The sequence below is a fragment of the Homo sapiens genome, chromosome 1 (assembly GCF_000001405.40).
Source record: "Homo sapiens chromosome 1, GRCh38.p14 Primary Assembly".
NCBI lineage: Eukaryota > Metazoa > Chordata > Mammalia > Primates > Hominidae > Homo > Homo sapiens.
In genome coordinates this window covers 28,708,055-28,734,843 of record NC_000001.11, presented here as the reverse complement: position 1 = coordinate 28,734,843, position 26,789 = coordinate 28,708,055, and the positions used below count along the sequence as shown (strand labels likewise).

General features: G+C 46.1%; 1 protein-coding gene across 13 annotated transcripts in view; it reads right to left on the bottom strand.

Moving 5' to 3' along the window:
• The window catches only part of GMEB1 (glucocorticoid modulatory element binding protein 1), a 51,125-nt gene continuing 39,826 nt past the window's right edge, over positions 15,491-26,789 (bottom strand). For all 13 annotated transcript variants that reach the window (XM_047438136.1, XM_047438283.1, NM_006582.4 and 10 more), the window contains 2 exons: positions 24,202-24,324; positions 15,491-20,771 (listed from right to left, as the gene is read on the bottom strand). In XM_047438136.1, coding sequence (XP_047294092.1) covers positions 20,071-20,771; positions 24,202-24,324 — 824 coding nt within the window. In that variant the 3' untranslated portion in view covers positions 15,491-20,070. The remainder of the gene's footprint in view (positions 20,772-24,201; positions 24,325-26,789) is intronic.

Sequence of the window (26,789 nt, the reverse complement as noted above, 5' to 3'; positions counted from 1 at the left end):
CCCAGTATTTTGGGAGGCCGAGGAGGGCAGATCACCCGAGGTCAGGAATTCAAGACTAGCCTGCCCAACACGGTGAAACCACGTCGGTACTAAAAATACAAAAATTAGCTTGAGCGTGGTGGTGGGCCCCTGGAATCCCAGCTACTCGGGAGGCTGAGGCAGGAGAATCACTTGACCACAGGAGGCGGAGCTTGCAGTGAGCCGAGATCGCGCAATTGTACTCCAGCCTGGGTGATAAAGCGAGACTCTGTCTCAAAAAAGTAAATAAAATAAGTAAAATTAAAATTTTTTTAAAAGCTGACATTAAAGCATGTGTGGCACAGTGTAAGTTCATTTCCTATAATCCCATTAAGCGATTTAAGTAAAAATTCTTTCCCTCCAAGAAAGAATGGTGCCAGGAGTTTTTATTAGTTCCTTTGGGATGACTTTCTGTTTGCCAGAAGTTCCCAGTTAAAATGCAAATTATCCTTAGGAAAAGGGTAATCTCTAAACCTGGATTCGTTTACCATGATGGCTTTTAACAGGCCCCTGAAGAAACAGAACCCAGAAGACTGATAATATTTAATCACTGGAAAGAGAGAGGGGAAGTTGGAATATGTGGTGTCATTTCATGGTTTGAAGAAAATAATACTGTACTGGAAATGTTTAGATTCTAGGTTCAGCTCTGCCGCTGGGTAAATGAAGCATTCAGTCTCTCTTTCAACAAATATTTATTGAGGGCCAGGCAGTGTGCTGGGGAGAAAGTTCATTTCTCCTTGAAGCAGACTAGCCAGGGAAACTGAGACTATGAAAATAGCTATTCAAATAGTTGTTCAATTACAGTTGTGGAAAGTGCAATGAGGAAGTACAGACAGGTATAACCTCCTCAGAGGAGCTAGGGAAGGTTTCCCTGAGGAGATGAGCTTCAGCTAAAACATAAAGGATGAGGAGAAACAGGCCAGGCAAGGAGAGAAGGGAAACAAAAGAACAACATGTGCTGGCCAGGCACGGTGGATCACGCCTGTAATCCCAGCACTGCGGGAGGCCGAAGCGGGCGGATCACCTGAGGTCAGGAGTTCGAGGCCAGCCTGGACAACACGGTGAAACCCCGTCTCTACTAAAAATACAAAAAAATTAGCTGGGCGTGGTGGCAGGCACCTGTAATCCCAGCTACTCGGGACGCTGAGGCAGGAGAATCACTTGAACCCAGGAGGCAGAGGTTGCAGTGAGCAGAGATCGCGCCATTGCACTCCAGCCTGGGGGACAACAGCGATACTTCCTCTCTCAAAAAAAAAAAAAAGAAAAGAAAACAACATGTGCAAGGGCCCTGAACAAGGAAGGAACTTGGCACTGGTGAGGAACTGAAGGAGGCCAACATGATGGTGCACCATGAGAGAGAGGGTGGCACTAGATAATACCGAGGAACTGGGCATAAAGGAGAAAAATAAGTCAGGTATGGTGGCATGCGCCTGTAGTCTCAGCTACTCGGGAGGCTGAGGCAGGAGGATTGCTTGAATTTGGGAGGCTGAGGTTGCAGTGAGCCAAGATCCCACCACCACACTCCAGCCTGGGGAACACAGTGAGACTCTGTCTCAGAAAAAAATAAAAATAGGCCAGGCGCGGTGGCTCACGCTGGTAATCCCAGCACTTTGGGAGGCCAAGGCGGGTGGATCACGAGGTCAGGAGATCGAGACCATCCTGACTAACACAGTGAAACCCCGTCTCTACTAAAAATACAAAAAATTAGCCAGGTGTGGTGGCAGGCACCTGTAATCCCAGCTACTTGGGAGGCTGAGGCAGGAGAATCACTTGAGCCCGGGAGGCGGAGCCAAGATCGTGCCACTGCACTCCAGCCTGGGCAACAGAGCAAGACTCCGTCTCAAAAAAATAATAATAAATTAACAAATAATAATAATAATAAAGGGTTAATAGGAGCAGAGCAGGCTCTGGTTTACATTTTAAGAAGTTTACTCTGGTTGCAGTGTGGGAAGTAGATTTAAGGAGAAGAGAGTAATTTAGGAGTTAGAAGAGTGTTGCAGTAAGTTCAGGCCAAAAAATAATAATAATAATAGTGGCAGGCTCTAATGTAGTGGCAGTGAAGACAGCGAGAAGTGGACAAAATTGTGTCCAGGTACAGTGGCCCACACCCCTAATCCCAACACTGGGAGGCCAAGGTGGGAGGATCATTTGAAGCCAGTAGTTTGAGACCAGCCTGGGCAATATAGGGAGCCTTCCGTCTGTAGAAAAAATAAGTAAATAGGCCGGGCGCAGTGGCTCATGCCTGTAATCTCAGCACTTTGGGAGGCCGAGGCCGGGAGATCACAAGGTCAAGAGATTGAGACCATCCTGGCTAACATGGTGAAACCCCATCTCTACTAAAAATACAAAAATTAGCTGGGCGTGGTGGCATGCGCCTGTAGTCCCAGCTACTCGGGAGGCTGAGGCAGGATAATCACTTGAACCCAGGAGGTGGAGGTTCCAGTGAGCTGAGATCGCACCACTGCACTCCAGCCTGACAACAGAGCGAGACTCCGTCTCAAAACAAAGTACATAAATAAATAAAAGAAGTACGACAAAATTGAGAAGTTTTAGAAGGTAAAATGGGGACTCTTGGTGGTTGATTGGATTGGGAGGGAGGACCCTAAAGGAGAAGTTGGTATCAAAGATGATAACTGGTTTGAGATGAGCATTTGGGCAGGGGAGGTATGGGTTTTCTGATGTGGGAAATGCTGGAGGAGATTTGCTGGGGAGCAGGGAGGTCATAAATTTATCTTTGGACATGCTGGGTTTCAGGAAAACATAAAACATCAGATCACAGCCAGGCATGGTGACTCACGCCTGTAATCCCAGCACTTTTGGAGGCCGAGGCAGGTGGATCACGAGGTCAGGAGATCAAGACCATCCTGGCTAACACGGTGAAACCCCGTCTCTACTAAAAATACAAAAAATTAGCCGGGCGCGATGGCAGGCGCCTGTAGTCCCAGCTACTCGGGAGGCTGAGGCAGGAGAATGGCGTGAACCTGGGAGTCAGAGCTTGCAGTAAGCCGAGATAGTGCCACTGCACTCCAGCCTGGGCGACAGAGAGAGACTCCTCTCCAAAAAAAAAAAAAAAAAAAAACACATCAGATCAAAATGTTCTGTAGAGGCCGGGCATGGTGGCTCATGCGTGTAAACCCAGCACTTTGGGAGGCCAAGATGGGAGGGTCGCTTGAGCCTAGAAGTTCAACACCAGCCTAGGTAACATAGCAAGACCCTGTCTCTACAAAAAAAAAAAAAAAATATATATATATATATATATATGATAAAAAATTAGCCAGGTGTGGTGGCACACACCTGTGGTCTCAGCTACTCGGGAGGCCGAGGTGGGAGGATAGCTTGAGCCTGGGAAGTCAAGGCTGCAGTGAGCTATGGTCATCCTACTGCACTCCAGTCTGGGCAACAGAGAGAGACCCTGTTTCAAAAAACAACAAAGAAATGTACAGTAGACAGTTAAACAGTTTAGAGCTCAGAGAGAAAAACAAGGCTGGGAATCCAAACCTTAGAGGCTTTGGTATACAGATGCTAAAGTCAAAGGAGTCCTTGAGATTTCCTCAGAAGAAAGGGAGAAGAGTAAGGCCCGGCACCAAACCAGAGAGATCGAAGGGAAACCAGGAGAGTAAATCATTTCCTCACTCAGAGTCTATTTCCAAGACTGTGAAATAAGGAAGATGAGTTCCAAAAATAACCCCTTCTATTTCTACCATTTTAGGCCTCTGGTGGAAACCGAAGAGATCCTTCTGGATATATGAGGGCTGTGGCAGGGGGTAGAATGAGAGAGAAAACACATAGGAAGGGGAAAGGGAAAATTTTACATACGCTTCAGAATTTTGCCATGGGCTGGACTGGGTCCTAGAGTTCCAATCACAAACTTTCCAGACTTCCAAAGCTCTTCTCAGGAACAATAGACTTCATTGCCCAAGTCGTTCCATTAATGTATCAGGAATAAAAGAGACCACTGGTGAGAAATGTTTATATATCTCACACAACTGACAGTGTAAAAACACTTAAAAATTTCTGCTAGTTTTCTGTGGTGTACACAGTGTAGGACACTTGTCCCTCTCTAGCCCTGTGTATTTCTCAAGCATTGATTGCCAGGCAATTCCAGTCACTCCAGTCACACTGAAGTCACATTGAACTTTTTAAAAAATTTATTATTGACCGGGTGCAGTGGCTCACACTTGTAATCCCAGCATTTTGGGAGGCCGAGGTGGGTGGATCATGAGGTCAGGAGTGCAAGACCAGCCTGGCCAACATGGTGAAACCCTGTCTCTACTAAAAATACAAAAATTAGCTGGGCATGGTACCACGTGCCCGTAACCCCAGCTACTCGGGAGGCTGAGGCAGGAGAATTGCTCGAACTGGGACCCGGGAGGCAGAGGTTGCAGTGAGCCAAGATTGCACCACTGCACTCCAGTCTGGGCTACAGAGTAAGACTCCATCTTAAAAAATAGATACATATAATTATTTAGTTATTTTATTTTTTGTGTTTTTTGAGACAAGATCTTGCTCTGTCGCTCAAGCTGGAGTGCAGTGACACGATCTCAGCTCACTGTAGCCTCAACCTCGTCTTCCTGAGGCCTTGGCCTCCTGAGCAGCTGGGACCACAAGCACAAACCACTATGCCTGGCCAATTTTTTATTTTTTGTAGAGACAGGGTCTCTATGTTGCCCAGGCTGGTGTCAAACTCCTGGCCTTAAGCAATCCTCCTGCCTTGGCCTACCAAAGTGTTGGGATTACAAGCATGAGCCACCATACTCTGAACTTTAAAAAAATTTTTTTCCCAGAGCCCGTAATTTTGCACATGCAGTTGTTTCTGCCTGAAATGGCCTTGCCATCTTCCCTATCCAATTGCTATCTGTCCTTCAAGATCCTGATCGGTGAAGCATTATTTCTGCCTCCAGGCAGAAAGAAGGTGCTATTCTTTGTTCATCCATAATATTGGTCATATTTCCTTATGGTAACTTATTTTAGTGTATTAGAACCATCTGTTTACTTCAATATTTCCCTTTTATTGGTGGGGGGACATTTTGGACTCAGTTGAGAATCTAATGAAAGTAATGAATCTTCTCACTGGAAACATACACATACACCCAAATTTTTGCCCATGAGCAATCTCATTAACTACTCTCTCCCCAAGCCCACCCACCACATGGACACTAGGTGAAAAAAAAACTAGTTTACATACTGCTAGGCCCAGCCTGGTGGCTCAAGCCTGTAATCCCAGCACTTTGGAGGCTGAGGCAGGCGAATCATTTGAGGTCAGGAATTTGAGACCAGCCTGGCCAACACGGTGAAACCCCGTCTCTACTAAAAATACAGTAATTAGCTGGGTGTGGTGGTGCGTGCCTGTAGTCCCAGCTACTCGGGAGACTGAGGCAGGAGAATCGCTTGAACCCAGGAGGCAGAGGTTGCAGTGAGCTGAGTCCATGCCACTGCACTCCAGCCTGGGCAACAGAGCAAGACTCCATCTCAAACAAACAACAACCTAGTTTACATATTGCCCCTCTAATAAATCTACAACTGCTTAAAGGACAAAGAGGCCAGGTGCGGTGGCTCACGCCTGTAATCCCAGCACTTTGGGAGGCTGAGGTGGGCAGATCACCTGAGGTCAGGAGTTTGAGACCAGCCTGGCCAACATGGTGAAACCTCATCTCTACTAAAAATACAAAAATTAGCTGGGCATGGTGGTGGGCGCCTGTAATCCCAGCTGTTTGGGAGGCTGAGGCAGGAGAATTGCTTGAACCTAGGAGGCAGAGGTTGCAGTGAGCCGAGATCACGCCACTGTACTCCAGCCTGGGCAGCAGAGTGAGACTCCATCTCAAAAAAAAAAAAAAAAAAAGGACAAAGAACATTTTTTATTATAAATCTGTATAACCCAATGCTAAGTAAATGTTTGAATTAATCTGTTATCTCATTCATTTTCAAAATTCTCTCTAGTAATGTCAACCTCCATTTTTTTTTTTTGAGACAGAGTCTTGCTCTGTTGCCCAGGCTGGAGTGCAGTGGCACAATCTTGGCTCACTGCAACCTCTGCCTCCCGGGTTCAAGCAATTCTCCTGCCTCAGCCTTCTGGGTAGCTGAGATTACAGGCATGCGCCACCACACCCGGCTAATTTTTTTTTGTATTTTTAGTAGAGACAGGGTTTCACCATGTTGGCCACGCTGGTCTCGAACTCCTGACTTTGTGATCCACCCGCTTTGGCCTCCCAAAGTGCGGGGATTACAGGCGTGAGCCACCACGCCCGGCATCAACCTCCATTTTATAGATGAAAACCTGGTGGGGCCAACAATTGTGATAAGCAGTTAAATGTGCAGCTTAACTAGCTTAGTGGGATGTTAAAAGAAAAGTACTGTGGAAACCAAAATCACCAGGTAAATTGATGATTGGTTAACTAGCTTAGTGGGATGTTAAAAGAAAAGTACTGTGGAAACCAAAATCACTAGGTAAATTGATGATTGGCTTTTTAATGTGCAGATGTTTTATAAATCTCTGAATAGAGGTATGAAAAGAGCAATGTAAAAACCAGACTAAAGGAAGAAAGAACCTGCAGCTGGGCCAGGTGGCCTTAAGCTGCTAGGAATTCAAGGCTGTGAATATTCAAGGGATACTTTTAGAGACATATAGGGCAGAAAAGAACGTGAACCAAGAAAGAACCACCATTAAAAGACCCTTGAAGATTCAACTGGAAAAAAAAAATTCGACTGGAACTCTAGAAGAGAAAGCAGAAATTTTCACCTGTCCTCCAAGAAGTGAGAAAGGTAATGACAATGTAATGAGTTTTGTTTTTTGTTTTTTTTGAGACAGAGTCTCACTCTGTCACCAGGCTAGAGTGCTGTGGCACAATCTTGGCTCGCTGCAACATCCGCCTCCCAGCTTCAAGCGATTCTCTGCCTCAGTCACCCAAGTAGCTGGGATTACAGGTACATGCCATCATGCCCAGCTAATTTTTGTATTTTTAGTAGACACAGGGTTTCACTATTATGGCCGGGCTGGTCTCGAACTCCTTACCTCAAGTGATCCATCCGCCTCGGCCTCTCAAAGGGCTGAGATTACAGGCCAGAGCCACCAGACCCGGCATGTAATGAGTTTTTCATAAAGCTAAATTTTATTCAATTGAGAGAACTTTTCTTTATCCTGAGATTATTTATTTCTTACCTCCTTGATGTCAACATATCCTTTCTTTTCAAATGATGGCAATGTTGCAAGATGAAATGAGATACAAAATAAAAAAGAAGAAAAAGAGAATCACATGATGGGCCGGGCACGGTGGCTCACACCTGTAATCCTAACACTTTGGGAGGCCGAGGCAAGTGGATTCCTTGAGCTCAGGAATTCAAGATCAGCCTGGGCAACAGGGCGAAAGCCCGTCTCTACAATAAATACAAACAAAATTAGCCAGGTATGGTGGCACACGCCTGTGGTCCCAGCTACTTGGGAGGCTGAGGTTGGAGAATCACCTGAGCCCAGGAGGTCGAGGCTGCAGTGAGCCAAAATTGTGCCACTGTACTCCAGCCTGGGCAAATCAGAGTGAGACCCTGTCTCAAAAAAAAAAAGAAAAAAAAAAAAAAGGGAAAAAGAAAATGGCAATGAGATTTGGCAATTAAAAGAAAATCCTTTTTTCACAAAATATAATGTTGGGAAGCTCGTGTTGGTCTCCAAGACGTGTTTTGTTTTATTGATACATGAGATCTATAGGTCTGAGTATCACTGTGCTAGGGAACAGCGTACCATCTCAATCTAAGACAATAGACTTGAGAGAAAAATGGAACACAAACAAGATTTCTGGAGATAGTGCCAAGGGGAAATGAAGTCAAGGAGCCTCTGGAAGGCTGGTCCAATTTTAGCTGGGTGTGGTGGCATATATCTGTAGTCTCAACACGTAGGAGGCTGAGGTGGGAGGATGACTTGAGCCCAAGAGTTCAAGACTGCAGAGAGCTATGCACTCTAGCCTGGGCAACAAAGAGACCCTGGCTCTAAAAAAAAGAAATTTAGCTGGGTGCAGTGGCTAATGCCTGTAATCCCATCACTTTGGGAGGCCAAGCTGGGCGGATCATGAGATCAAGAGATCGAGACTATCCTAGCCAACATGGTGAAACCCGTCTCTACTAAAAATACAAAAATTAGCTGGGCATGGTGGTGCACACCTGTAGTCCCAGCTACTCAGGAGACTGAGGCAGGAGAATCACTTGAACCCAGAAGGCGGAGTTTGCAGTGAGCTGAGATCATGCACTCCAACCTGGTGACAGAGTGAGACTCTGCCTCAAAAAAAAAAAAAAAAGAAATTTAAATCTGTGCAAAGAAAAAATAATTACACGGGCCAGGTGTGGTGGCTCACACCTGTAATCCCACCACTTTGGGAGGCCAAGATGAGAGGATGGCTTAAGCCCAGGAATTTGAGACCAGCCTGGGCAACATATTGAGACCCCATCCCTACAATAAAAAATAATAATAATAAGACTAAATATGTTCCAAATAAAATATCATGATTGTACAATGATTCATTGAAGGGTTCCTTTTAGGTATTAAGCTTCTCTAGTACTTTTTTTTTTTTTTTGAGGCGGAGTCTCACTCTGTCGCCCAGGCTGGAGTGCAGTGGCACGATCTCGGCTCACTGCAACCTCCACCTCTTGGGTTCGAGCAATTCTCCTGCCTCAGCCTCCTGAGTAGCAGGGATTACAGGCGCCCACCACCACGCCCAGCTAATTTTTGTATTTTTAGTAGAGAAGGGGTTTCACTATGTTGGTCAGGCTGGTCTTGAACTCCTGACCTCGTGATCCACCCGCCTTGGCCTCCCAAAGTGCTGGGATTACAGGTGTGAGCCACCGCGCCCTGCTTAAGCTTCTCTAGTACTTTTGAAGACTGTTTAGCCAGGCTCAGTGTCTCACACCTGTAATCCTAGCACTTTGGGAGGCCAAGGTGGGTGGATCCCTAGAGACCAGGAGTTTGAGACCAGCCTGATCAACATGACAAAACCCCATCTCCACTAAAAATACAAAAAATTGGCCAACGATAGGCATGCGCCTGTAATCCCAGCTACTCAGAAGGCAGAGGCAGGAGAATCGCTTGAACCCAGGAGGCAGAGGTTTCAATGAGCCGAGACTGCGCTACTGCACTCCAGCCAGGGCAACAGAGTGAGACTCTGCCTCAAAAAAAAAAAAAAAAAAAAGAGTCACAATAATCCTTTGTGATAGCATTACTTAACCCATTTTACAATGAGGAAACTAACATAGTTTACTACTGTAAACAATACATACATTTGAAGTGTTGTATACCAATCACATTTATTAAAGAGTCTTGGCCAGGTGCAGTAGCTCACGCCTATAATTACAGCACTTTAGGAGGCCAAGGCAGGTGGATCACCTGAGATCAGGAGTTCGAGACTAGCTTGGCCAACATGGTGAAATTCTGTCTCTACTAAAAATACAAAAAAAAAAAAAAAAAAAAAAAAAATTAGTGCCTATAGTCCCAGCTACTTAGGAGGCTCAGCCTGCTGAGATGGGAGGATCACCTGAGCATAGGGAGGTGAAGGCTGAATGAGCCACCATTGTGCCACTGCATTCCCGCCTGGGCGACAGAGTAAGATTGTCTCCAAAAAAAAAAAAGAAAAAGAAAAAGAAAAGTCCTTGATCTCACAGAGCTTCCATTGTAGTTGGAGGGAGAAAATAAACATACATCACATAAGTAAAACAGAGAAAAATAAAGCAAAGTAAAGAGAATAAAGGAAAACAAGAACCATAGTGCAGGGGGAGGTTACCATTTTTTATAGGGCGGGTATTAAGGAAGTCCTCTCTGATAAAGTAACATATGAACAGATACTTGAAGAAAATGAAGAAATAAGCTTTGCAGGCCAGGTGCAGGGGCTCACGCCTGTAATCCCAGCACTTTGAGAGGCCAAGGCGGGTGGATCACCTGAGGTCCGGGGTCTGAGACTAGCCTGGCCATCATGGTGAAACCCCATCTCTACTAAAAAAAAAAGTATGGAAAATTTGCCAGGCGTGGTGGTGGGCGCCTATAATCCCAGCTACTCGGAAGGCTAAGGCAGGAGAATTGCTCCAACCTCGGGAGGTGGACATTGCAGTGGAGATCGAGCCATTACACTCCAGCCTGGGCAACAAGAGCAAAACTCAGTCTCAAAAAAAAAGAGGTTGGGCGTGGTGGCTCACGCCTGTTATCCCAGCACTTTGGGAGGCCTTGATCACGAGGTCAGGAGTTCAAGACCAGCCTGATCAGCATGGTGAAACCCCCATCTCTACTGAAAATACAAAAAATTAGCCAGGCAGGGTGGCACGCTTGTAATCCCAGCTACTCAGGAGGCTGAGGCAGGAGAATCATTTGAACCCAGGAGGCAGAGGTTGCAGTGAGCTGAGATCGCGCCACTGCACTCCAGCCGGCGATAGAGCAAGACTCTGTCTCAAGGAAAAAAAAAAAAAAAGAAATAAGCTTTGCAGTTTTCTAGGGGAAGCGTGTCCTAAGAGATTATTGAATTTAAGAAAAAAAAACAAAGGCCAGGTGCAGTGGCTCATGCCTGTAATCCCAGCACTTTGGGAGGCCGAGGCAGGTGTATTACCTGAGGTCAAGAGTTCGAGACCAGCCTCACCAACATGGTGAAACCCTGTCTCTACTAAAAATACAAAAAAAAAATTACTTGGGCATGGTGGCACATGCCTGTAATCCCAGCTACTCAGAGGTTGCAGTGAGCTGAGATCACGCCACTGTACTCCAGCCTGGGTGATAGAGTGAGACTCTGTCTCAAAATAAATAAATAAATAAGCTTTGCAGTTTTCTGGGGGAAGCGTGTTCTAAGAGATTATTGAATTTAAGAAAAAAAAAGGGCTACCAAAATAAATATGTCTGCATGTCTGCATTTGTAATAGAAGTGGCAGGGTCTGTGAAGATGTCATGTCCTAAGACATGTGTCATTCCAGTCAAGTGTTACTATAAGGAAATGTGAACCCACTGTTGTCAAGCCTTCTGATGGTAGTTTATTTTTTGTTTTTTTATTCTTTTTTTTTTTTTTGAAATGGAGTCTTGCTCTGTTGCCCAGGCTGGAGTGCAGTGCAATGGCACGATCTCGGCTTACTACAACCTCCACCTCCCAGTTTCAAGTGATTCTCTTGCCTCAGCCTCCTGAGTAGCTGGGATTACAGGTGCACACCACCACGCCTGGCTAATTTTGGTATTTTTAGTAGAGAGGGTTTCACCATGTTGGTCAAGCTGGTCTTGAACTCCTGACCTCATGATCTGCCCACCTCGGCCTCCCAAAGTGCTAGAAGTACAGGCGTGAGCCACCGCGCCCAGCTGTTTTGTTTTGTTTTTGAGATAGGGTCTCACTCTGTCACCCAGACTGGAGTGTGGTGGTGCAATCATGGCTTACTGCAGCCTAGACCTCCCAGGCTCAAGTGATCCTCCCATCTCAGCCTTCTGAGTAGCTGGGAATACAGGCATGCCATCACCGCATCCAGCTAATTTTTGTATTTTTTTGTAGAGATGGGGTTCACAGTGTTGCCCAGGCTGGTCTCGAACTTCTGGCCTCAAGCAATGGTACCAACTGGGCCTCTCAAAGTGCTGGGATTACAAGCATGAGCCACCACACCCGGCCCCAGGAACGTTCATAGAGGCATTATTATAGTAGTCCGAACTGGAAACTACCCACCATTAGTAGGAAGGATCATTTGTGGCAAAGTCACATGTTCTTTTTTTTTTTTTTTTTTTTTTTTTGAGACGGAGTCTCGCTCTGTCGCCCAGGCTGGAGTGCAGTGGCGCGATCTTGGCTCACTGCAAGCTCCGCCTCCCGGGTTCACTCCATTCTCCTGCCTCAGCCTCCTAAGTAGCTAGGACTACAGGCGCCCGCCACCACGCCCAGCTAATTTTTGGTATTTTTAGTAGAGACGGGGTTTCGCCGTGTTAGCCAGTATGGTCTCGATCTCCTGACCTCGTGATCCGCCCGTCTCGGCCTCCCAAAGTGCTGGGATTACAGGCGTGAGCCACCGCGCCCGGCCAAAGTCACATGTTCTATGTAGCAATGAGAAAGAACCAACTACAACTTCAAACAACTTTATGGATTAATCTCAATAATGTTGAGTGAAGAAGAAAGCCAGTCACAAAGAGCTCAAAAAGAGGCAAAAGCAAGCTATAGTTTTAAAGAGGTAGGTAGTGGTTATCGTGGTAGGTGCGGTGCTGGTAATTTATTTCTTCTGATCTAGAAGCTGGTTTCATGGGTGTTGACTAGCCTTATCAAGTTGTAGAATTATGATTTGTATTCATTCGTGTATACATGTTCAATAAAAAATAAAAACACAACAAAAATGTAGGTCAGGCTGGGAGCGGTGGCTCAACGCCTGTAATCCCAGCCCTTTGGGAGGCCAAGGTGGGAGGATCACTTGAGATCGGGAGTTCAATTCCAGCCTGACCAACATGGAGAAACCCCGTCTCTAGTAAAAAATACAAAATTAGCCGAGCATAGTGGCGCATGCCTGTAATCCCAGCTACTTGGGAGGCTGAGGCAGGAGAATGGCTTGAACCCAGGAGGCGGAGGTTGCGGTGAGCCGCCATCGCGCCATTGCACTCCAGCCTGGGCAACAAGAGCGAAACACCGTCTCAAAAAAAAAAGAAAAAAAATGTAAGTCAGTCTTCAGGCTGAATCATGGCTGTGGGCATCCAGTTTGCTTTATAATGTATAGACATATTTAAGAAAACACCAGAGGGCCGGGCGTGGTGACTCATGCCTGTAATCCCAGCACTTTAGGAGGCCGAGGCGGGCTGATCACTTGAGGCCAGGAATTCAAGGCCATCCCGGCCAACATGGCGAAAGCCCGTCTCTGCTAAAAATACAAAAAATTAGCCGGGCGTGGTGGCGCATGTCTGTACTCCCAGCTACTCGGGAGGCTGAGGCAGAAGAATTACTTGAACTCGGGAGGTGGAGGTTGCAGTGAGCAGAGATCACGCCATTGCACTCCAGCCTCGGCAACAGAGCAAGACTCCGTCTCACAAAGGAAAAAAAAAAGAAAAAGAAAACATCAGAGACTTTTTAAATATTTTATTTTATTTTATTTTATTTATTTATTTTGAGACGGAGTCTCGCTCTCGCCCAGGCTAGAGGGCAGTGGCGCGATCTCGGCTCACTGCAAGCTCCGCCTCCCAGGTTCACGCCCTTCTCCTGCCTCAGCCTCCCAAGTAGCTGGGACTACAGGCGCCCGCTACCATGCCCGACTAATTTTTTGTATTTTTAGTAGAGACGGGGTTTCACCGTATTAACCAGGATGGTCTCGATCTCGTGACCTCGTGATCCGCCCGCCTCGGCCTCCCAAAGTGCTGGGATTACAGGCGTGAGCCACTGCGCCCGGCCCCTTTTTTTTTTTTTTTTAAAGTAAACTTTGAGGATGGGCGCGGTGGCTCACACCTGTAATCCCAGCACTTTGGGAGGCCGAGGCGGACGGATCACGAGGTCAGGAAATTGAGACCATCCTGGCTAACACAGTGAAACTCCGTCTCTACTAAAAATACAAAAACAAAATTAGCCGGGCGTAGTGGTGGGCGCCTGTAGTCCCGCCTACTTGGGAGGCTGAGGCAGGAGAATGGCATGAGCGAACCCGGGAGGTGGAGCTTGCAGTGAGCCGAGATCACACCACTGCACTCCAGCCTGGGCGACGGAGTCAGACTCCGCCTCACAAAAAAAAAAAAAAAGTAAATTTTGAAATCAGGTAAATTCTATGTGTGCTTTTCTTAAGAGTACCTCCTACAAAGCCCAGTGAGGAAGCTCTTTCTCTCTGGGTCCTAACTCAGCCTCATGTTTACCCTTATATGCAATCCAAACCTATTGTTCATTCTTGTTCTCAAACTAGAAAAATAAATCCATGTGTTTATGTAATTTTTTTTTTTTTTTGAGGCAGCGTCTCACTCTGTCACCCAGGCTGGAGTGCAGTAGTGTGATCTCGGCTCACTGCAAGCTCCGCCTCCCGGGTTCACGCCATTCTTCTGCCTCAGTCTCCCGAGTAGCTGGGACTACAGGCACCCGCCACCACGTCCGGCTGATATTTTGTATATGTATTGTTACTCATACTGGGCTGAAGTAAGTTACCCAGGAAAACAAGATATGTCTAAGCCTAGGGCCGTGGGCCAGGGGTAATCAATCAGGTGTAGAAGATGGGTTTTTAGAGTCCGTGTGTCTTGGGGGAACTTGCCTAACGCCACTATGCAAGCACATTGCAAAAGGGCTTCAATTCAGGTGACTAACGGTGTCAGCAAGGCTGTTGTAGTTAGTGAAGACTGCGGTCTAGGAATGTATGCTCAGGTTTGGGCCCTGGGGGTGGCATTCCTTTAGTTGGGAAAGATGATCATCTCAAGAGTTGAAAGAGTTACTGCCATGGCAGGAAGGCAAAAATACTAACATGGCAGAATTTGGGGACTAAATCATGGTTCCCAAAAGAGCTAGAGAGGAAGGATGATGTAGTGTGGATAGGGGAGTCTGAGGCAAGTAGAACCCTCTAGAGGAAGTCAAATTGCCTAACTCAGGGCTAAGAAAGGTGTTCCAGGACTTGGGAACGAAACCTGGAAAGGGCTCAAATAGGGCTGCCTAAGAATGGAAATTCTAGGGACAAAGAGTCCAAATCTTTTTTTTTTTTTTGAGACAGTTTCACTCTTATTGCCCAGGCTGGACTGCAATGGCACGATCTCGGCTCATCACAACCTCCGCCTCCTGGGTTCAAGCGATTCTCCTGCCTCAGCCTCCCAAGTAGCTGGGATTACAGGCATGCGCCACCATGCCTGGCTGATTTTGTATTTTTAGTAGAGACAGGGTTTCTCCATGTTGGTCAGGTTGGTCTCGAACTCCTGACCTCAGGTGATCCGCCCACCTCAGCCTCCCAAAGTGCTGAGATTACAGGCGTGAGCCACCGTGCCCGGCCAACAGTCCAAATCTAACTACACCACACCCTTGAGGTCCTTGACAACCTTGGTTGTTATGGCAGCACATTTCAGACTACACAAAAATTTCCCAGGGAGGATTTCCCAGGGAGGAACTAACCTGGAGTAAGGGATGTGCTGCACCTCCAGGGAAGTGATCAATTGTACTAGGAAAGTTGTCTCAAAATGCAGGAGCTAGGCTAGTGTATGACATTATGTCTCAGAGAGGACGAGTTCCTCAAACTGCCCAAGGTGAATCACAACCTCATGCCGATTTTCAGAATTCAACCTTTCCTTTGTCCTTTCCACCTCTCTGATAGTACTAAAACCTGGATGCTATAACTCAACTACTAATTCCACATTTCATGCTTGACTTTTACTATCTTTATAATCAACACTCTCCACCATAGTCTTACCTTTAATGCCTTTCATGAAATGGGATAAAATGCTACCACTAGTGGGTGTCAGAACCACCTGAACTGAATATTAATTTTCCAGATGTTTGGATTAACATTGGTCCTCCTTCCCTAATAAGGACAGAGGTGCAAAAGAACCTTCATATGAAGTGGCTTTGAATCTTGAATATTCATGTTTATTGTCCATTTTTTACTTCAGAATGACTGGTGTTTTTAGGAGTGGGTGGAGCTTGGAAATTGAGAAAGGGAAGAGAACAAGGCAGGGACCAAACAGGGACATGGCCAAGACAAGACAGTTGTACAGCTGACTCTCAGGCCTTCGTGGAAACCATATGGCAGGAAGGCTTTGGGGGCATTTACCCTTTGCCAGCTAGACTCCAGTCCTGCACTGGATTCAACACTGGATCCCATCTGATGGAAACTTGGAGAAGCCCATGCATGACTCAGCGTTCTCCAGTGGGGAGACTGCCCATGTTGCTGACTCTGCCTTGCTTTGCAGGCAGAAGCAAGAGACTGAAGACTTTTTCTCTAGAATAAATAAGCCCAATTACTTGAAAATCAAGTAGTACAATAAACCTAGCCAAAAGTGGTCTCTCCTAAATCAGCTTAGGTATATGCCTTCTCCAGGAAGATCTCCCTTATTTGCTGACCCCACCTCTACACCGCTAAGCTGGGTTAGGCACTTCATGCTTTGTTCTCTCAGCTCCTAGCCAATAGCCCTATCACACACAGCACTTACGCAGTAGGATCTGTTTCAGTACCTCAGTAAAGGAGAGCTGCTTGTTTGTGCCTTTGGCAGTCTGCTGAAACCTATGAACCAATTCTTAAATAATGTTTTTCAATGCATAAAATACATAAAATTACAAAAAAAAACAATTATAATGAAATGTGTAGTTTTGGTTTTCTGAGCTGGGGATGTTGCCCTGTTACCTGGGCTAGAGTACAGTGGCAAAGTCATAGCTCACTACAGCCTTGAACTCCTAGGCCCAAGCAAAATCCTCTTGCCTCAGCATCCTGAGTAATTGTGTCTACAAGTGCGAGCCACAAGACTTGACTAATTTTTACATTTTTTTATAGAGATGGGGTCTGGCTATGTTGACCAGGCTAGTCTTAAACTCTTGGCCTCAAGCAATTCTGCCTCAGCTTCTGAAAGTGCTGGGATTCTAGGTGTGAGCCACCATGCCTGGCTGAAATATGTATTTCTTAACTCCAGACATCTGGAGTATGAATTCCTTAAGTGCAAGGACTATGTCTTCATCTCTCTACTGTCAGTGCCTAGCACAAAGCCTGGCACATAGATGGTTCTTAAAAATGTTTATTCAATGCATGAACAGAAAGACAAATGCCTACTACCAAGTCAGCCTAAGGTTCATTGCAACTGCTTATGCACATACCAATGGCTTGCATATGTCTCACCCCATCTAGGATCATCTAGACCAGGGCTGTAAGGGAACCTACATTCAACAACAGGTGCCATAATATCTAACAATAATGACAGGCTATTGGAAGACCAGGAAAACAACAAAGCTCATGTATTTCACCAGCTGGAAAATTCATCTAGTAAACAGGCTGTTTGAGGAAATCTCTTGACATTGGAAGCATGATGCACACACGACCTTAAAACCCTACCAATAGCTCTGATGGAGGAAAGAAGGGAACCTGAGCTAGCACGTTGGTATTCACGAGGGCTCTTCTGTCCTGAATTGGTCCTCTCATCTCTGGGAAAGAGAAAAGTGTCCCTAAAAACCACAATAGGGATGAGATGTGCCTTCCTAGATTCAAGTAGATTCAGTCTGAGACAGCAATTTTGTTTTTATGTACCAACAGAAAACCTAAACAAGCAGGAAATAAAAGCTACTTCCCTCACTAAAGATATATTAAGGGCCAAATATTTGTTCTAAATTGATTGCTAAGTCTATTAGATATTTTGAAAAGAAAAATAAAACCCCAGACTATTTAAAAACTGAAATCTACAACTGTATGGAGTTCATAAATCTCATTCTTAAGAGTCACCTTCAGGCTGGGTGCGGTGGCTCATGCCTGTAATCCCAACACTTTGGGAGGCCAAGGCGGGCGGATCGCTTGAGGTCAGGAGTTCAAGACCAGCCTGGCCAACATGGCAAAACCCCGTCTCTACTAAAAATACAAAAATTACCCGGGCGTGGTGGTGGGAGCCTGTAATCCCAGCTACTCAGGAGGCTGAGGCAGGAGAATCACTTGAACCAAGGAGGCGGAGGTTGCAGTGAGCTGAGATCACACCATTGCACTCCAGCCTGGGCTACAGAGCAAGACTCCATCTCAAAAAGAAAAAAAAAAAAAAAACAGCAACCTTACCATGTTACAGGGTTTCTTTGACTACATACAGCCATCTGAGGGATGGAGAATGCAACTTTTACTTGCTCGATGGGGTTTCCAACATCTGTTGGAAGAAACATGGCTTCTGAAAGGTGCCTTCTTAAAAATAAAAAAGAAAAAAAAAAACTACAGGTCCAAGTTTTGTTTTTAATAAAAATATTCCTCCCACTCTTAAGGTGTGTGCTTTCTTTTTTGACCTATTTTTCCTTAAATTTGTCTGTAGTTTCCCTGTATCTCTATATTTTTCCTAGTGCAGTAAACAATGCAATCAAAGAAATAAAAACCAGGGTCCACTCTTGCCCCAAACACTGAAGAGGGTCAAAGAGAAGAAATCGCAGCACGGAAAATGGCCCAGCTCTAAATATACAAACAACATTAAAAACAAAACAAAACAAAATAACCCCCCCCCCCAAAGCATTATTATTGACATTCCTGGTACATTTCCTATAATATAATGTTGCAGACAATGCTTCTTTCCCAGGGAGTCCAGCTCACTCAAGAGACATCTAGTTGGTGCCTCAGGAAAGCCTGGGGGTGTTGAGTCCTCTCTGCCAAGCCTAAAGCTTTTTATGATCTCAGTATCTCACAGAAACATCTGTGGTATAAATGAATCTAAAAGGGGACGAAGGCAGGCAGGCACCTGTCACTGTTCTCCAAATCAGCCAAAAAGCTGAAGAGCGTGGGTTCTAGGAGACAGATGCCATTAAGAGTTGAGGGATGGAGGGCAGAACAAGAGGAAGCACCAAATGAGTGGCTGCTTTGGGTTCCAAAGCCAAAAAAATGGCCCCACCAAAAAAGGCAGCTGGTTTCATTGAGGAACTCCCTGCTCTTGGAGCCATGCAATGAAAATGATGGCCTTGGAGCCCCATCCCTGTGACAGCCACAGTCTAAGAACCAGAGCCATTTACATCACATTGCACAGTTTCAAATGAATGGACTGGTCCTAGCTTAGGAGGGTGAGTGCTTTGACAAAGTGTGGAACAAGGTAAGCTATTACCTTGAACCCCAAAGCACAGCTGCAGCATCCTTGGCTTTCCATTTCTTTCTTTTTTTTTGAGACGGAGTTTCACTCCTCGCCCAGGCTAGAGTGCAATGGCATGATCTCAGCTCACTGCAACCTCCGCCTCCCAGGTTCAAGCAATTCTCCTGCCTCAGCCTCCCAAGTAGCTGGGATTACAGGCGCGTGCCACCATGCCCAGCTAATTTTTTTTTTTTGTATTTTCAGTAGAGACGGGGTTTCACCATGTTGGCCAGGCTGGCCTCAAACTCCTGACCTCAGGTGATTCACCCACCTCGGCCTCCCAAAGTGCTGGGATTACAGGCATGAGCCACCGCACCCGGCCTTGGCTTTCCATTTCTGCAAAACCACAGGCCACTGCTGCCACTTGCTCTGTGGAGATGTACCTTCCACTTATTACCACCTTCTTCTCAAAATGGCACTCACGGTACTAACTTTTGGAGATCTCCAGAGGCGTCAGTTGCACCTCTGGAAGTAAGATGATTTCCCTGCCCCATACTTGCCAAAGCACTTTTTTTTTTTTTTTTTTTTGAGATGGAGTCTCGCTCTTGTTGCCCAGGCTGGAGTGCAGTGGTGCGATCTTGGCTCACTGCAACCTCTGCCTTCCCAGGTTCAAGCGATTCTCCTGCCTTGGCCTCCTGAATAGCTGGGATTACAGGCTCCCGCCACCACACCCGGCTAATTTTTTTTTCGTATTTTTAGTAGATACGGGGTTTCACCATGTTGGCCAGGCTGGTCTCAAACTCCTGACCTCGTGATCCACCCGCCTCGGCCTCCCAAAGTGCTGGGATTGCAGGCGTGAGCCACCACGCCCGGCTAGCACTTCCCTTTTTAAGCTAGTGCTGGCATGCCACCTTCCCCTCAAAGCAGAGTCAACTTCCTTTTGTTTGAGAGTTTTGTACTGGCCTCTGTAGGCCCTTTTCAGGATACAAAATAAAGTGCCCTTCAGCATCCACATGCGAGTGGGTTGCCTTCCAGTGTCAGATCTGTGTTCCAGAGTTTGGTCAATGCATCTTTACAAGAATAAAACCACATGCCTACACACACAGACGAGCCTGGAAATGGCTTTCTGGACAGGGTTACTTGTTATCTTGACACTTCCCCTAAAAGAAATTACTTTCTTGGTGTAAGATGATTAGGACATTGAATGACCTACTCTCAACTTCTGGAAGGGCAGCTTGTTTTGTCCATTTTTCAATGAGGGAGTGGGAAGAACCCAACATTTTCAGTTACAACAATAAGATTTTGTTTTTTTTTTTTTAAAAAAGGGTCCTATGTGGAAATGAGTGGGACAATGATAAAAATAAACAAATAATTAAAATTCCAAATCAAAACATAACTCCTGGCCCTGAGATCCCCAGTTAATCCTCTAAGACCACAATCTCCACATTGTGAACTTGATGCTGGTGTTCTTCCATCTCAGCCACAACTTTCTCCTCAGTCCTCAGCTCTGTCTCCAAGATGACTGCTTTGCCCTCAGTATCTTCAGCTTCTGGGTCCGGGGCTGGATCAATCTCAATGATGGTCTGCCCATCCTCTGAGGTGCTTTCAACAGCCTGAATTGCCGAGGTTAGGCCGGACTCCATGGCCACCAATTCCACAGGGCTAACCATGGTGGTCATGTTGCCCAGTGTACTCCCATCCTGCATGGCAGTAGAGCTCAGCAGCGCCAAGCTAGATGAAGGGTGGATGGTCACTGTGTCTGGTGAGCTGCTCTTGGCAGAGGAGACCACTGTGGCATAGCGGAAGAGCTGAGGGCCAGAAGGCAGTGTGTGGACAGTCACAGGACTGGAGCCCTGGCTGAGGGTGGCCACTGGAATATTGCCCATGGAAAATGACTGACCCACTGGGGTGATGGTGATGGGTGAGATGACTGTGAACTGAGGCTGCTGGACAGGAGGAGAAGGGCTCAAGACAGTGGTGGAGGCTGGCCGCTGGAGCCGGGGCCTTTTTGGAGGCTTAGGAGTGCTCACAGGCATCAGTACCACATTTTGAACTGTCTGAGATTTCAGCCTGTGATCCTGGCCTTGCTTCTTCTGCTCCTCCAACTGGCGTTCCAAGTCTATGGAAAAAAAGAAAAGACTTTGTGTAGAGGGAAGTAAAATCTTGGGAGCATTAAACTGAGAGTCAGGAGACCTGGTGTCTCTGTCTGGTTTTGTTACTAAGTAGCTTCAGGCAAGTTGTGACATTGTTTTCTTTCTTGTGCTTATTTGGGGGGCAGAGTCTTGTTATGTTGCCTAGGCTGGAGGGTAGTGGCTATTCACAGGTGCTATCATTGCGCACTATAGCCTCGAACTTCTGGCCTCAAGCGATCCACCCACCTCACCTTCCCAAAGTGTTGGGATTACAGGCATAAGCCAGTGCACCCAGCTGGCACAGTCCCTTGGAACTCTCATGCACCTACAAAGGAGCTACAATGGCCACTCCAAAAAACAGTGATTTTCAAACTATCCTTCAAGGCAAGAATGCCTTGCTGCATTGGCTGGAAAACTCCTTTGCTGGTGACTCAAACAGCCACAGTTTACAATTGTTGCCTAGGAAGGTCTACAGAAAGTTATAGAAGAAGTCCCTAAAAATTACAGAACTAAAAGAGGTCTTAAGAGCTCAAACAAATTCATTTTGACAGGGATCCAGAGAGGGAAAATGACTAATTTAAGGTTATGAAGATTGGGCCAGGACAATGGTCAACTTGGTTGCTTTTGCATTATAGTACGCCTATCACTATCCCTCTCCCAAGTGACCAGTCCAACCCTAGGTGACCACTGGTAAGTTGGCTTCTACAATGGAACCTATTACTTAGTACCTGATAAGCACCCAAGAAAGAATCAATTACACTTGTAGAGCACTTTGCTCCCTATGTGTGATATTGTGATATAATAAGAAATACATATTTAGTCTCTGCCCCTGGATCCTGGCACACAGCTCCTAAAACACATGGATCTCCAGAGCGGTAAATGTCTTTTTTTTTTTTTTTTTTGAGATGGAGTCTCGCTCTGTCGCCCAGGCTGGAGTGCAGTGGTGCGATCTCGGCTCACTGCAAGCTCTGCCTCCTGGGTTCACACCATTCTCCTGCCTCAGCCTCCTGAGTAGCTGGGACTACAGGCGCCCGCCACCGCGCCTGGCTAATGTTTTTTTTTTTGTATTTTAGTAGAGACAGGGTTTCACCATGTTAGCCAGGATGGTCTCGATCTCCTGACCTCGTGATCTGCCCGCCTAGGCCTCCCAAATTGCTGGGATTACAGGCGTGAGCCACCATGCCCGGCCCAGCGTGGTAAATGTCTTTATATCTCTTTTTTTTTGAGACAGAGTCTCGCTCTATCGCCAGGCTGGAGTGTGATGGCGCGATCTTGGCTCACTGCAACCTCCGCCTCCCAGGTTCAAGCAATTCTCCTGGTTCAAGTGATTCTCCTGCCTCAGCCTCCCGAGTAGATGGGACTACAGGCATGCAACACCACACCCAGCTAATATTTGTATTTTTAGTAGAGATGAGGTTTCACCATATTGGCCAGGATGATTTCAATCTCTTGACCTCATGATCCGCCCACCTCGGCCTCCCAAAGTGCTGGGATTACAGGCATGAGCCACTGCGCCCGGCATAAATGTCTTTATATCTTAATGAGATGACTGGTATCTTGGAATCCTTAGATAGATTCAAGATGGGGGCTGGTCACCAGAAAGATCCAGGCATGATTAAAGACTAGGACTTTCAGCCCTCCCCCCGAACCTCCAAGGAGTGGAGAGAGGCTGTAGGTTGATTACCAATGGCCAATGAAGTAATCAACCATACCTATGTAATGAAGCCTCCATAAAACCTCAAAAGTACAGGGTTCAGAGAGCTTCAGATTGTTGGAGGTTCCTGAGAGTGGCGTGACTACAGAGTGCATGGAAGTCCCACTCTCCTTCCCACCTTGTCCCATGCATCTCTTCCATCTGGTTATTCATCTGTATCCTCTGTAATAACCTTTATAATAAACCCAATAAACATTGAGTAACTGCTTCTCTGAGTTCTGTGAGCCACCTTAGCAAATTAATCAAACGCAAGAAGGTGATTGTGGGAACCCCAATTTATAGCCAGTTGGTCAGAAGCACAGGTCATTTGCAGTTTGCCTTCAACAATTAATCAAAAAAAAGAAAAAAAAAGCACAGGTCACAACCTGGGGCTGAATGGGAGGCAGTCTTTTGGGACTGAGCCTCACCTGTGTGATCTGATGCTATCTCCAGGGGGATAGTATCAGAATTGAACTGAATTATATAATACCCAGTCAGTGTCCACTGGAGAGTTGATTGCTCGGTATATGCAGAAAAACCCCTACACATCTGATTACAGAAGTGTTCTGTGCTATACTGAGTACTGAGTAGCAACTTGAAAAATACTAATAGGGCTGAGCACAATGGCTCACACTAATAATCCCAGCACTTTGGGAGGCTGAGGTGGGTGGATAACTTGAGTCCAGGAGTTTGAGACCAGCCTGGGCAATGTGGTAAAACCCCATCTCTACCAAAAATACAAAACAGCTGGGCACGGTGGTACATGCCTGTAGTCCCAGCTATTCAGGAGGCTGAGGTGGGAGGGTCACCCTGAGCTCGGGGAAGGTCAAAGTTGCAGTGAGCCGTGATTGTGCCACTGCACTCCAGCCTCAGTGACAGAGTGAGACCCTGTCTCAAAAACAAATAAACAAACAAAAAGAAAAATATGTCATGGTGAAAAAAAGCAGAAAACAAAACTTTATGTATACAATGATTAAAAATATCTGAAGAAATAATACACACAAGGGACCAAAAGCCTGTATTTCTAACAAAAACCAGTTTTCTGACGGTTTAAAGGTTTTTTTTTCTTTTTTTTTTTTTGAGACAGAGTCTCGTTCTTGTCCCTCAGGATGGAGTACAATGGCACTATTTTGGTTCACTGAAACCTCCGCCTCCCGGGTTCACGCCCTTCTCCTGCCTCAGCCTCCCGAGTAGCTGGGGCTACAGGCACGCGCCACCACATCCAGGTAATTTTTGTATTTTTAGTAGAGACAGGGTTTCACCATGTTGGCCAGGATTGTCTCAATCTCTTGACCTCGTGATCTGTCTGCCTCAGTCTCCCAAAGTGCTGGGATTACACAAAATTTCTGATTACCACAAATAATGGAGAAAGTGCTAAATTTATATCTATCAAAAGATGCAGTATCAATAATGTAAAAAAGACAAAGACCAATTTGTGTCTTCTGCCACCAATGTTATTGAATTAATGGAGCAATCTAAGAGACATCTTAATCCTCCACAAGACACAGAAGGGGGACTATGATGGCAGCTTCCTTTTTTTTTCCTTTGTGCCTCTTTTGTTTCTCATCAATCCACCTCATCTGCGGCTTTTTTTTTTATTTTTAAAAGCAAAATCTGATACTATTTAAAAAAAAAAAAGTTACCCCAACAAAAGTCAACAAGAAAATGGGAAGACAAGAATATTAGCATGATATCACCGAAGAAGAGCGATAACTTATACATACCTGTCAGAGTATAGAGAAACTGTTCTTCTCCCTGCTCTACTTGGTTCCTTCTGTTGTCTAAAACCTTCTTGACTGTGTCCATTAGGCCAAATGTGTGTGCTACATTGTTGAGAACAGCAGCATCTATTTAAAACAAAAGACATGCCTGTCCAGTTAAAACAGATATGTTCCACCACTCTCCATTGTGCTGTTTATAAATATGAAACAACCAGAAATTATGGGACTCTCCTAACTGCATTTTAACACATTTTTAACAAAGATTTATTACATGTATAATGACTACTGGTTTAATTGTTATATTTTTGTAAATCTTTCCATATAAATAAATACAAAGATCAGGCTGGGCATGGTGGCACATGCCTGTAATCCCAACACTTTGGGAGGCCAAGGCGGGAGCATTGCTTGAGGCCAGGAGTTCAAGACCAGCCTGGGCAACATAGTGAGACCCCTGTCTCTACTTACATAAATTTGAAACAATTTTTTTTTCCTTTTTTTGGAGACAGAGTCTTGCTCTGTCCCCCAGGCTGGAGTGCAGTAACATGATCTCAGCTCATTGCAACCTCCACCTCCCGGGTTCACGCCATTCTCCTGCCTCAGCCTCCCGAGTAGCTGGGACTACAGGTGCCTGCCACCACGCCTGCCTAATTTTTGTAGTTTTAGTAGAGATGGGGTTTCACCACATTGGCCAGGCTGGTCTCGAACTCCTGACCTTTTGATCCACCCACCTCAGCCTCCCAAAGTGCTGAGATTACAGGCACAAGCCACCGCGCCCGGCCAATTTGAAAAAATTTTAAGGCCAGGAGCGGTGGCTCACATTTGTAATCCCAGTCTCTAACAAAAATACAAAAATTAGCTGGGTAAAAAATAATAATAATCATAAATAAATAAATAAATAAAATTAGCTCGGTGTGGTGGCATGTGCCTGTAATCCCAGCTACATGGGAGGCAGCTGAGGCAGGAGAATTACTTGAACCCAGGAGGCAGACGTTACAGTGAACCAAGATCGTGCCACTGCACTCCAGCCTGGAAGACAGGGCCAGACTCCATCTCAAAAAAATTTTTTTTTTTTAATATCTTGCATCTGTTTATAGTTCTGACTTTAGGTTTTGAAAACATGGTCCCTGTACTAGATAGAGTTAACGTTCATCTCAGTTTTGCTATTTCCCATATGTGCAACCTTTGGTAAGTCATTTCACTCTTCACTTTTCTCATCTAAAATGAATGGGATTAATAACACTTACTCTGCAAAATAGACATGAAGATTAGAAATATATTTTAAGTGTCAAACATGGGGACTGGCATGCAAGATTATTATTTTTATTATTTTTTTCTTTTTGAGATGGAGTCTCACTCTGTCACCCAGGCTGGAGTGCAATGGCGCAATCTTGGCTCCCTGCAAGCCCTGCCTCCCAGGTTCAAGCGATTTGACTGCCTCAGCCTCCTGAGTAGCTGGGATTACACGTGCACGCCACCATGCCTGGCTAATTTTTGTATTTTTTTTTTTTTTTTGAGATGGAGTCTTGCTCTGTCGCCCAGGCTGGAGTGCAGTGGTGCAATCTCAGTTTACTGCAAGCTCCACCTCCCGGGTTCACACCATTCTCCTGCCTCAGCCTCCTCAGTAGCTGGGATTACAGGCGCCCGCCACAATGCCAGGCTAATTTTTTTTGCATTTTTTAGAAGAGATGGGGTTTCACCGTGTTAGCCAGGATGGTCTTGATCTCCTGACCTTGTGATCTGCCCGCCTCGGCCTCCCAAAGTGCTGGGATTACAGGCGAGAGCCACCTCGACCGGCCTAATTTTTGTATTTTTATTAGAGACGGGATTTCACCATGTTGCCCAGGCTGATCTCGAACTCCTGACCTCAAGTGATTCACCTGCTTCAGCCTCCCAGAGTGCTGGGCGTGGTGGCTCCCATCTGTAATCCCAGCCCTTTGGGAGGCCGAGGTGGGTGGATTACCAGCCTGACCAATATGGTGAAACCCCGTTGCTACTAAATACAAAAAAATACAAAAAATTGGCCAGGCGTGGTGGTGCATGCCTATAGTCCCAGCAACTTGGGAGGCTGAAGCAGGAGGATTGCTTGAACCCGTGAAGCAGAGGTTGCAGTGAGCCGAGATTGCACCACTGCACTCCAGCCTGGGAAACAACAGCGAAACTCTGTCTCAAAAAAACAAAATTGGGCCAGGCACGGTGGCTCATGCCTGTAATCCCAGCACTTTGGGAGGCCGAGGTGGGTGGATCACGAGGTCAGGAGATCGAGACCATCCTGGCTAACACAGTGAAACCCCGCCTCTACTAAAAATATGAAAAATTAGCCAGGAGTGGTGGCAGGCACCTGTAGTACCAGCTACTCGGGAGGCTGAGGCAGGAGAATGGTGTGAACCTGGGAGGTGGAGCTTGCAGTAAACTGAGATTGCACCACTGCACTCCAGCCTGGGTGATAGAGCGAGGTGTGGTGGCTCACGCCTATAATCCCAGCACTTTGGGAGGCTAAGCCAGGTGGATTGCTTGAGCACAGGAGTTTGAGACCAGCCTGCGCAATATGGCAAAACCCTGTCTCTACAAAAACTACAAATATTAGCCAGGTG